The sequence below is a fragment of the Homo sapiens genome, chromosome 11 (assembly GCF_000001405.40).
Source record: "Homo sapiens chromosome 11, GRCh38.p14 Primary Assembly".
NCBI lineage: Eukaryota > Metazoa > Chordata > Mammalia > Primates > Hominidae > Homo > Homo sapiens.
Window position 1 is genome coordinate 74924459 of NC_000011.10, and position 12035 is coordinate 74936493.

Below are 12035 nucleotides of genomic sequence, written 5' to 3' on the forward strand. Positions count from 1 at the left end.
GCGAAACTCCGTCTCAAAAAAAAAAAAAAAGAATAAGAGTGTGTTTCATGTGCAAATTATGTGAAGTTCAGATTTCAGTGTCATGAAGTTTTAGGCTGGGCGTGGTGGCTCACGCCTGTAATCCCAGCTTTTTGGGAGGTTGAGGTGGGCAGATCACTTGAGGCCAGGAGTTCGAGACTAGCCTGGCCAACAAGGTGAAACCCTTCTCTACCAAAAATACAAAAATTAGCTGGGTGTGGTGGTGCACACTCATAGTCCCAGCTACTTGGGAGGCTGAGGCATGAGAATCGCTTGAACCCAGGAGGCGGAGGTTGCAATAAGCTGAGATTGTGCCACTTACTCCTGCCTGGGTGACAGAGGGAGACTGTCTCAAAAAATAAATTAATTAATTAAAATAAACAAAGTTTTATTGGAACACAGCCATGCTCATTTCTCATTTGTTTACATATTGTCTATGGCTGTTTTCCATTATACAACAGCAGAGCTGACTAGCTATGATTAGTTATGACCATATGAACCACAAAGCCTAAAATATTAGGCCTGCTGTACAGAAAAAGTTTGCTGACCTCATTCTAGCTGCTTTGGCTATTTAATGTAGGATCCGAATTTGCTTTCTATAGAATTAAGGGCAATTTAAAGAAATGAATAGCCTTAGAATCACAGGCTACAGAATTTCAGAGCTGACCCAGAATTTACAGAGGGGAAATGTCCCAGAGAGGGTACGTTGTTTGGCCAGGTAGGCATGGCAAAGTACTGGCAAAACCAAGACAAAAGGTCTTCTGACTGCCAGGGCAGGGCTCCAGCTGAACCTTCTTCAGATCTGTAATCCGAGAATCAAACCATGGCAAAGTTAAGTTTTTCTAAATTGACTCCTGAAGAATTATTCTACTCTGGGCTTTTCCTCCTGGGGCAGCCTTTTTGGCAAACAAGAACAGAAGATTCCTAACCTGGCTACTACATCTGCTGAGTCACATCAAGTTTTATTACACATCAAAATATTACATTACTGTGAGCTGCAAATTCAGGATATTTGACAGGTTTATACTTCTTCTTAGGGAGCCCTTGCAAATCACAGATAGATGAAAACAGATGACTGGGCAAGAGATTTCCTGTTTTCATTTATATTCTGCATCTTAACTTTGGTCTGTTCTCTTACGTAAATACCCTTTCGTAAGGGTAGGTCTGCTGGATAAATCATCTTCATCAGATGCGATCACACTATAAAGTAAAGTAAGGCCTCCAAAAAAGTCACTCATGATCAATCACTAGATCCAAGCTAGTCAGTTGTGGGGTCAGAGCCTATAGTCATGTCTCCTCCCTTCAGCCCACTGGTACTTGAAACAGGGGTTTGAAATGGTAGGGGAAGAAGACAAGATGCATGGTACAACGCACAACACAGGAGCTCAATGACTACTCTCTGAAAAAGTAAAAGAACAAATAAATGCAAGTTCTTAAGAAGCTCCCAGGCTCAAAGGTCAGGGACATGGCTCCCTGTATCTCTAGACCATCTGAAACCTGTTTCCTGCTGTCTATTCCAAAATCTACTGTTAAATATTTATAAACACAGAAAAAAAATGCATCAGTTGTTGTAAACTTACTTTCTCTCTATTTTATTCAACTTTCAAGAGCTTTGCTTCCTAGACAAGTGTGAGGACTACTTTTGTCTCAAATCATAGAAAATTACTGTTATCTTCAATATGACTTGAGACCATGGAGAGAAGGTTCCATTACAGTCAGCAGAATATGCTTTAAAAATGCAAAGATATATAATCCAATTAGGAAGGTGGCCATCCCAAGAGGTTAAAACCTTTTAAAGCTTTGGCATATGAAGGCCATCAACTCTGAAAAACTCACTCTTGTAGAAGGTCCCCCTCACTGACAAGACCAGGTTAAGTGAGGCTTTTGTGAAGAATGGCTGACCCTTGATGTTTGCAGATGAAATCATTTAAGTTAACAGCTTTTTGGGGTTGACCTCAAGGTTCATGACACGCACACATTTTACTGAAATTTGACTCTGAAACACTTCTACTCCAGGATGTGGAGAAGAGTCTATTACTCAGTGAGTGAGCGTGGTCAGATGCCCAGCCCACACACGTGGCTCCACCTCTGTTGTCCTTTACTCTCCACATATGTTGTCCTTTACTACTGCCGTGACTCTCAGGTAGTGACAAAAGCTTTGTTCCTTTGTAAAAAGTGGCCCACAAATCTTCATGAAAGCTAAATAAGTAATCAACTTGAACTATAAGGACATGTGCAGAAAATGCATGACTATGGGAAAATTTAGGAGAAAACCAAGAATGCAAACAAAATTTTCTGTATTTTCTAATTTGCGGTTTGAAGAACAGCTGTGAATGTACAAATGTTCAAGACTCTGCTGCTGATCCCAAAGGATCCCTATTCATACTCATCTCCGAGGTTATGGACTAGGCCTATAGCCTGCTCTATCCCAGCCACCGAGACTGATTCAGCTCACTTAGACCAGGATGAGTCTCTGGAATCAGTCTATAATGTCTCTAGTTCAGCCGATCCAATCTGCTGCACCTAGCTCTTAAGCTCCATGGCTCCTCAATCCCCACTAGATCCAGATCTCCCCTCAAAATTCTCCCTCCTTCAATACTCTGTTTTAAAACTCACTTTTCTGCACAGACTCCCTTGGACATGACCTTTGGCATTTATTTTCCAGGACCATGCACCATGGTTAAGTCTTTGGTATCAACTATTTGCTGCCACTTCTACCATTACCACTATCTCCATCACTGTAACTACCCTTACAACCCCCACCCCCACCCTCCCTGGAGGCCAGCAATGAAGCAAGGGCCTGGCTGTACAGGCCCAGCAAGCCCCTTCCCAACAGTTATAATCAGTAAAGCTCTATGCTCATTCCTTACAGGGGAACTTGGTGGGCACCAAAAACTCCCTACCTCCAACTTACTTCTAATAACTTAAAGTCTCCATATTTCACGTAGATAGTTTTGATGCCATTAAATGCGAGATCCAGTTCCTTTAGGGCTGGAAACGTGTGAAATGCCTCTACATGGGGAAGAGAAAGAGAGAGTCTGCAGCTTGTAAAGGACTTAAGAGAAAGATATTAATAATTACCATTTACTGTGTCCCTACTGGGTTAGGCCAGGCACTGTATAAGGTACTTTACATACATGGCCTCTAAATCTCTAACAACCCAGAAAAATAGGGATTACTACTTCCATTCTATGGCTGACTAAGGCTCAGCCAAGCTAAGTGATTTGCCAGAATGGAATTGCTGGTAAGTGAAAGAGCCAAGAATTGAATCTAAGTCTGCTCAACAGCAAAGCCCATTTTAAAAATTATCTTTATTAATCCTGATTACAAAAATTAAAACACAACTAAGAAAAACAGTCAAACATCACAGAAAAATAAAAAGTTCTGTTTAATCCCAACATCCAGAGACAAGTATTAAAAGTTCCATATATAGCACTCAACTTTTTCTCATGTATATATCAAAATACATACCTCTTTTAACAAAAATAGAGTCATACTGTACACACTGTACTGACTTGCTTTTTCCCTTAACAATGTAACTTAAAGATTATTCCATGTCAAAACATATAGATATGCCTAATGTCTTCTGATGTTCTACAGTATAGATATATCCTAGTTTACTAATCCATTTCCCCATTGGTAGCCTTTAGGCTATATGAATAAAAGGTAAGAAACTATATGAATAAATGTTTCTCTCTTTGAATGAGAACTGAACTTTTTCTAGCCTTGTTCCTCTGGTAACCTGAAACCAATGATACAGTAACTGCATTTCCAGGCAGTATCACTTGCGGTAAAAATCACCCTAGGTTGGCAAATTACATCTGGGCTAGGAGAAACTATAAATGAATGATAAACACCTGAAGGGGGCACCATAATTTTGGGCTTCCCTGTGTGTAGTGATTCCTATAATTGGATATATCCTTTGCAGAAACTCTAGGAGCTATGCCTATACGTGTTACAATGTATATTGGCTCCTGTGAGGAATGAGATTTCTAAGCCAGGGTGGCTTTTGCATCCACCCAATGACAGTCTCACTGTCTTGTACCTGAGCTGACACTGGGGGCCAGATGGAGGGGCACAAAGAATGCCTCATGGATGGCTTTGGGAACTCCATTGAAGAGAAACTCCTGATGCTGTTGTACTGGCATTCTGTGTGGAATTACTTAGAGCCTTCTAAGTGAACCTGATGTTAAATATGGTAGTCTTGTAAGTCAGAATGTTCAGTAGAACCTAATAAAGGCTGCTTTGTGAATATTTCTGGATGTTTCCAATGAACAGCCTTGTACGAGTGTGTTACTATAGAATAATTTCCTGGAAGTAAAGCTACTAGATTAAAGGCAATGACTACTTTAAATTTTAAGAAACATTACCAAATTACCTCCAAGATGCTACACCAATGACTATACTTCCACAGTTCAATGCAAGAGTATCCATCTCCCTACCAATGCTGGCTGTCATCAGCCCTTTTCACTCCTGCCAATATTTGACAGGCAGAAAACAGTATCTTGATCCACTGTAATTATTAGTGAGGTTGAACACCTTTTCATATACCTATTGGCCTTTGTATTTCCAGCCCAAGCTCCTGACAGACCACCCTGTCTCCTAAAGGGCAGGGACCTCATCATATGCTTCTTTGAAAACAATCTTCAAACTCAATGCAACAAAACTGAACTTATCCTATTTCCCTCTGACTTGCCTTTTCTCTAATGTGCCCTATCTCAATGAAATGCCCCTTGATTCCTCCCTCTCCCTACATCCCTATCAGTCTATCAACTACCAAGTCCTGTGGTTTCTACTCCTCCTAAATCTCTGTCTGTCTCTCTCTCTCTCAATCCTCTGCACCCTTCTTGTCACAATCCTGGCTCAGGCCTCATCTCCCCTCCCCTGAAAACCTGAAATAATCTCCCAGGTTTCCTGGCCTCCACCTTCTTCTTCTCTTATAATCCACTCTCCTCACAGCTGCCACTGAGCTTCTCTATTTAAAACCCTTCCAAGACTCTCTTTTGCCTGCAGCATTAAGTCCAATTCACTCCCGGTCCTTGATAATCCAGTCGCTGCCAATCTGTCTAGTTTCAATTGTCCCCCACATGCTTCCCTTGCAAGCATACAAAACCTCTTCAGTCTTCCTGATCAGACAATGCCATTCCACATCTGCTCCAGCAGCCGGAAATGCCTTCTTACCTTCTAGTTCCTGAATCACTCCTATTCATTTTTCTGGTCTCAGCTTAGGTGCTCCTCTTCTCAGTTCCTCCTGACACTCTGGCCTGGCTTGAAGTCCCACGTATATGCTTGCATAGTATTTCCTGATTCTCTCTTTCACTGCTCTCCCCTCATCCTGACCTAACTATCTGTATCTGAGTCCATCTCTCTCACCAAACCATGAGCTCACCAGAGCAGGACTGTATGCACTCATTTCTAAAAGCCAAGTATTCACACAGTCCTAATATCCAGCAGGGGTCGCTGTGGACTTGCTGAATAAGAAGGCTTTATGCTCCTACAGGAGTACTTTACAGGCTTAGAAACATTTTTATACACCCATCTCATATGAGCCTGCAAGGTATCCTGCAAGGGGAGGAAAAAAAGAAGGGAATTATCTCCATTGACAGATAGAGAAGTAGAAGATCACAGAAAAATGTTCTAAGTAGGTAGCGCCAGAGCAGGACTGGAATCGAGGTCTTTGTGCTCTCCAGCACCCAGCCTATTGTACTCCAAAAAAGAGATGTGTGGCCAATCATAGATGGTTGGACAGACAAATCCTAACACACGTGAATGGCTGTGCTGGCTAAGAGGAGGAAGAGAGCTTTCAAGAAAGAAAAAGCTTACCTAGAGGCAGCAGGTTTTCTGAGGCATTGATATAAATCACAGAATGAAAATGCTTGAAGTCATTTTCCTTGGCCTGTAGGAAAGCATTTCAGAAAAAAAAAAAAATCCACAAGATTAGTTCCCTGCCTAGAAGCCTTGCTGAAGCTTCAGGGCCACTGTCAGAAGAAACAAAGACCTAAAGGAATAAGGGACATCCCTAGCACAGGAGCAGACACTTGAGTGCTGTAAGGGTTTTCCTGCTTTTTTTCCACTATGAAACATTTCAAATGTACAGAAAAGTATACGGAATGACACTCTGAAGACCCATATAACCACTATCCAGAGGTAAGTATTTAATACAGCTGAATATTTTGCTGTCTTTGCTTTAAATAAATTTCCTTAAAGAAAATATTATATAGGGTGAACCACCACCATTACCACCCCTGTCCATGTATCCCCTCACTAATCCCATAACAGCTATCCTGAATTGGAGACTATCATTCCCATACTCAATAGTTTTTGTGTGTTTGTTTGTTTGTTTTTGAGACAGGGTCTCACTTCCATTGCCCAGATTGGAGTGCAGTGACACAATCTTGGCTCACTGCAGCCTCAACTTCCCCAGCTCGGGTGATCCTTCCACCTCAGCCTCTTGAGTATCTAGGACTGCAGGCACACGCCACCAAGACTGGCTAATTTTTTTGTATTTTTAGCTGAGATGGGGTTTTGCCATGATGCCCAGGCTGGTCTCGAACTGCTGCGCTCAAGTAATCCGCCTGCCTCAGCCTCCCAAAGTGCTAGGATTACAGGCGTGAGCCACTGCACCCAGCTCCCATATCTTTTTTTATGCTTATACGTGTGTGTGTGTGTGTGTGTATCAACTATATATAATGCTAGATACAGGTAGTAAAACTTTACGTTAAATGCAACAATATTTTAGGTATCATTCTGCAACCTGCCTTTTCACTCAACACTGTTTTTGAGAATTACCTGTGTCGATATATGCTGCTTTTGAAATTTACATATGTTGACAGTTGTAGTTCTAGTTCAATTTTTTTTTTTTTTTTGAGACAAAGTCTCGCTCTGTCACTCAGGCTGGAGTGCAATGGCACAATCTTGGCTCACCGCAACCTCCACCTTCTGGGTTCAAGTGATTCTCCTGCCTCAGCCTCCTGAGTAGGTGGGATTACAGGTGTCTGCCACCATGCCCAGTTAATTTTTTTATTTTTAGTAGGGACAAGGTTTCACCATGTTGTCCAGGCTAGTCTCAAACTCCTGACCTCAAGTGATCCTCCTACCTCAGCCTCCCAAAGTGCTAGGATTACAGGCATGAGCCACCACGCCTAGCCCTAGTTCAACCATTTTAATTCCTGTATAGTATTCCATTGTTTGAATATATTGCAAGTTTATTCATTCTCATTTAGTCTGTTTCTAAATTTTATTACAAACAATTATGTAATTAATATTCTTATACACACCTCCTATTCATAAGAGTTTCTTTAATGATATGCTCCTATCAAGCTGTGGGGAATACACAGCTTTATGAGATGGTAGCACATTGTTCTCCAAAGTAGTTAAAACAATTTACAGTCCTACCTGCAGTGTATGAGAAGTCCTATTTCTTTAAATCCTTGCAATTGGCATTATAAAACTAATTTTTGCCAGTCTGATTATTGTAAAATGGCACTGCATTTTCCTGATTATTTATGAGGCTGAATATCTTTTTCTATATTTATTGGCCTTTCAAGTTCCTCTTCTGTATACTAACATATTTATCTGTTGTCTATTTTTCTACTGGGTTTCTCTTTCTTCCTATTGTTTTGTAGGAGCTCTTGACACATTCTGGATCCCAATACTTTTTGGTTATATTACTTGCTAATATCTTCTCCCAGTCTCAGCTTATCTTTTACCTTTGTTTGTGGTAACTTTTGTTAGATAGATATTTTTAATTAAATTTCATAGATATTTTCCTTTATGGTTTAACCACAAAGCTAGCAAGCATCCACTCATCCCGTGGGTCTCAGCTAAGCTACCACCCTCTCCAGGGTGTGTTTCCTGTGTAAGGCTGAGTCAGGGGCCTGTCCTCTGAGGTCATATTTCGCACCCTCGTGTTTCCCTCATTGACTGCATTAGCTAGTCCTGTCTAACTCCATATCCATCTAAGCCCAGCCTCCTCCCTCTCTACTGGACTATATGCTCCAGAGGGCAGGCAGTGTCTGAGCCACCTCTGTACCCTCCAGCAAATAGCACAGAGACACACCAGGCCTCGGTAATGTTTGGTGAGCACGTGAGTGAATAAGTAAAAGAAGAACATACGGTATCCAATGAGGGGACTGAGCTTTGACCAGCCATGTTGTAGCCCTCAAAAGGTGAATTGATAAAGAGACCTCTGAAATCTTCTATGACTTTGTCTCACCGTTATATGTGAACTATATATTATAATCTCTGGGACCATGTGCTGGCCTAGAATGGAGGGCCTCTCAGCCACAAGATGAATATATTTCTAAGGTTAACCTGTCCCTAAGTAACTCAATTCTGAAAACATGAGTGCTAAATGAAGTGAAGCAGAACCCTGTTAAAGGAGCAGTCTGCTTTACCACAAACTTGGCCATCCTGTGGGTTAGAGCCTCTACTCTATGGTTTATACAAGTAATCTCTCTTGGTATGCCACGAAAGCCAACATACCAAAGATGTATGTTATAATATCCTGTATATACACTGGCTAATGGTGGGTCACAAATATGGCTCCAAGCTGCCTATAAGCCAATACAAAGAAAGAAACATGATTCATTGCATGAGTCACAGCACCTGTAAGTTAGGAACGAACCAGCTTCTTGGGAAAACCATTACAATTGCTGGCATTGAAACTTAAGAAATATCTCTTGTAGGGTCTTGTGATGGGAACTCAGTGTCACACAATGAATTATGTACCCACAAAATTACATGGCAAATTCAAAACCAGTTTCATAAGGCAATTTTCTTTTCTTTTCTTTTTTTTTTTGGTGACAGAGTCTCACTGTCACCCAGGCTGGAGTGCACTGGCACGATCTTGGCTCACTGCAACCTCTGCCTCAGGGGTTCAAGCAATTCTCTGCCTCAGCCTCCCAAGTAGCTGGGATTACAGGTGCCTGCTACCATGCTTGGCTGATTTTTTGTATTTTTAGTAGAGATGGAGTTTCACCATCTTGGCCAGGCTGGTCTTGAGCTCCTGACCTTGTGATCCACCCACCTCGGCCTCCCAAAGTGCTGGGATTACAGCCCTGAGCCACCACGCCTGGCCCATAAGGCAATTTTCTTTAATTCATATCAAATAGGACAAGGGCAATATAAAATTTGTAGCAAAAGTTTGTGTCTGAATATTGTTTCAACCCAATAAATCCTTGTCTGACTCTCCTCTCCCTCCTTCTTCGTGACCAGATTTCCAGTCCCTAGGGACTCTGGAGGTGCAAGAGACAAACCACAACAGCCAGGTGCGCCACCTCAAGTCTGGCTCACCCCAATCACATCTTTGCTGGCTGACCTCACCTTGGAGAACTTCAGGCCACTCACATTAATGGTGCACAGATCTGATGGCTTCCTCACACAGTGGTGCTTCAGCTGGAACATAATACAAAGAGTTGTCTCTTAAGGCCCCTACAAAGTTTAATTAATCTATTACCACTCAGCCTTCTCTTGTTGGGCAATCATATACTTGTCATAATTTGTTTGCTTGTTCATTCATTCATTCATTCATTCATTCATTATTCATCCATTCATTCGCCAAATATTTACCAAACACTAAATTGGGCCATACGCTTTGCTGAATACATTAACAAACTTTCTTCTAATCCTAATTAAGCCCTTTGATTATAAAGTAAGATTATCTCCTCTTTTTAATGAGAAAAACAAGGTTAAGAGAAGTTATGTGCCTTGCCAAAGGTCCCACAGTTAGTAAGTGACAGATCTTACTAATCCAAATCTGTAATCACTAGACTCTATGCACTTTTGACTGCCATATGTCACCCGACATAATTTAAAAGTTAGAGGTAAATTTTAGCTTTGGAGCTTCCATTTATGTTTAATCAAACCTCATTCTTTTTTTGTTAATCATTTATTTATGGTACCCACCATGTTTAGGCACTGAAAGGCATTGGGAAGACAATGAAGAAAAAGCAGAGACATTCCATAACCTCATAGAGCTTACAGTGTCATGGGAAGCCAAGTAGCAAGTACGTATTTATAAATGTGATAAATATTTTAAAGGAGAAATTTAAGATGCTATGAGACATATAACAGGAGGTCCTAACCTCAGTCTGAATGAGGAAATACTTACTTGAGGAAGTAATATTTCAGAAACCTAAGAGCTAAATAGGTCTCATGAAAGTGGGTAGTAGGGATTATGAAGTCTACCAAGGCAGGAAAAAGCAAGGTGCTTCTGAGAGGATGAAAAACAAGATAAGGTTAGTGAGACGGCCATTAGATCATATAAGTCCACGCTGGCTCTATAAAGGAGTGTGGATTTTATCCTACGACAAATAGAAAGCAGATTTTTAGCAGGGGGCTGATAGTAATTTTATAAAAATTGTAATGTCGGATACACATAGACATATCAGACAGAGTACATCACATAGATGAGAAGACAGGAAAGGAAGGGGAAAGACGAATGTACCAGATTGGTTAATTACTTTCCTAATAACCACTACTCCTCCTTGTTAAAGAACACCAATGTTATTCACATTTCTCCAAATGGAATGTTCTTAAGCCACAGCTCCAAGCAATAAGTCGTGATCTGTGTAAACCAATCATGGAGGTCTCATTCCCCTAACTCATGACTGTTCGGGCATGTTATATAGGTCTGGATAATGAGATACTGGCTGCTTGGAGTTGAGGAGGGGGACCGGTTTTGGAAAGCATTTTCTTACTTCTGAAAAGACATTAGTCAGTAACAATCCCTTCTCTACCTCAGGATGTTATATTCTGTATGTGATGACCACAATTGCTGCAGCCATCTCAGGATCATGAAGGCAATCAGCCCAAGAGGACAAGATAACATGTAAAGTGGCACAGCACAAAGACAGAAGGAACACAGGCCTTGCAAGACGTCATTAAGCCTGTAAATTAATCTACCCTAAACAATGCCTCTGGCTTATTTTTATGTGAAATAAAAGCATCCTAATTAGTTTACAACATATAGAAAGTTTCTGAATTAGTCCAATAAGAGATGATGGTGGCCCAGATAAGGGTCATGGCAGTCGAGATGAGAAGACAGATTTGACAACTATCTTGTAAAAGTGCCAGGACTTGGTAAAAGTTGGGGTGGGGACAGTGTGGGAGAGGCAAATGTCAAGGATAACCTCAGGTACTGGCTTGGCAACTGGGTAGATGGTAGTGCCAACAGAGAGAGTAAAGTAGATACTGGAAAAAGAGGTCTGTTTTGGGATTTGGAGTAGGAGCATTGGTGCTGTAATTCAACTGTCAATGAAACATTCAAGTGGAACTATCCAATAGGCAGAGTGGATACCCCATGATTCTGAAAAACATCCTTGTTGCTCCTGTCTCCCACGGTGGCAAGACGGGTAACAAGCTGTATTTATTGAATATGGGAATGTATAAGTATTTGGAAACAAGGGAAGAAAAAAAGGCCACTATGGGAAGTGTTTCTGCCCCTCCTCAGTATAATTATTTCAGTCCTCCTCATTCCCAATGAGAAGTGGACCTAATAATGAAACTGATTCCACAGGACTGCAAAAAGCTTATACTACCCACTTGAGGTGAGATGAAACCAACAAAGTTCTCTTTCAACATCTGATTTATGCAGGCACCCATCTCTTGGGAACCATAGCAGAATCTGGAAACAAAGTAGGCAGCCAGGGAGTTCTTAGGGAGCTATGAGAACTCGACTGCACATTAATATTGATTTACAAAATGCATCCTTCTTAGCAAAGCCACTGAGGCATTGCACAGAGCAGATGTGAAACTACCTGGCTGGTCTCCAACACAGCCACCCCAGTCCTCTTTGTAAAGCCTGCCCCCGGCACTAAGTAATATCTGGTCAGCTCCCTTGGCTTTCAGCCAGACACTAAAGTCAAAGGACAAAGGCTGTGGGAGAGCAGGACCCAGTCCCACTCAATCCTGTAGAGATCACCCCAAAGAGCACAGCAGGAATCTCTCAACCCTACTAGGTGCTGGAATGCAATTTTCAATTGACTGTTTCCCCTGACCTGCTCCTTTGTCTCTCC

At 41.5% G+C, this 12035-nt stretch overlaps 1 protein-coding gene and 1 long non-coding RNA gene across 70 annotated transcripts in view, besides 1 other annotated feature; one reads left to right on the plus strand and one right to left on the minus strand.

Annotated features, from left to right (window-relative positions):
- Positions 1–12035, minus strand: part of XRRA1 (X-ray radiation resistance associated 1) — a 108182-nt gene that overhangs the window by 83549 nt on the left and 12598 nt on the right. For 31 of the 69 annotated variants that reach the window (NR_165436.1, NR_165435.1, XM_047426393.1 and 28 more), the window contains 3 exons: positions 9343–9414; positions 5842–5914; positions 2933–3030 (listed from right to left, as the gene is read on the minus strand). The exons of 11 other annotated variants lie outside the window; for them this stretch is intronic. Coding sequence is in view for 21 of the 58 variants with exons in the window: in NM_001378158.1 (NP_001365087.1) it covers positions 2933–3030; positions 5842–5914; positions 9343–9414 (243 nt within the window). In the remaining 37 variants the exon portion in view is untranslated. Of the gene's footprint in view, positions 1–2932; positions 3031–5841; positions 5915–9342; positions 9415–12035 lie in introns of those variants that run through there. 27 more of the 69 variants (XM_047426406.1, XM_047426399.1, XM_047426408.1 and 24 more) reach the window with 5 other exon arrangements.
- Positions 6663–10987, plus strand: LOC107984352 (uncharacterized). The gene is made up of 3 exons (XR_001748295.2): positions 6663–9287; positions 9934–10025; positions 10763–10987. It is a non-coding gene; the product is annotated as an uncharacterized LOC107984352 (long non-coding RNA).
- Positions 8772–9247: a silencer, noted in NCBI's record as "fragment chr11:74644275-74644750 (GRCh37/hg19 assembly coordinates)". NCBI's record gives its function as "represses an EF-1alpha promoter that drives an FKBP-Casp9 reporter gene in an ReSE screen in phorbol 12-myristate 13-acetate-treated (for megakaryocytic differentiation) K562 erythroleukemia cells {active_cell/tissue: K562(+PMA)}" and the evidence as "EXISTENCE:reporter gene assay evidence [ECO:0000049][PMID:32094911]".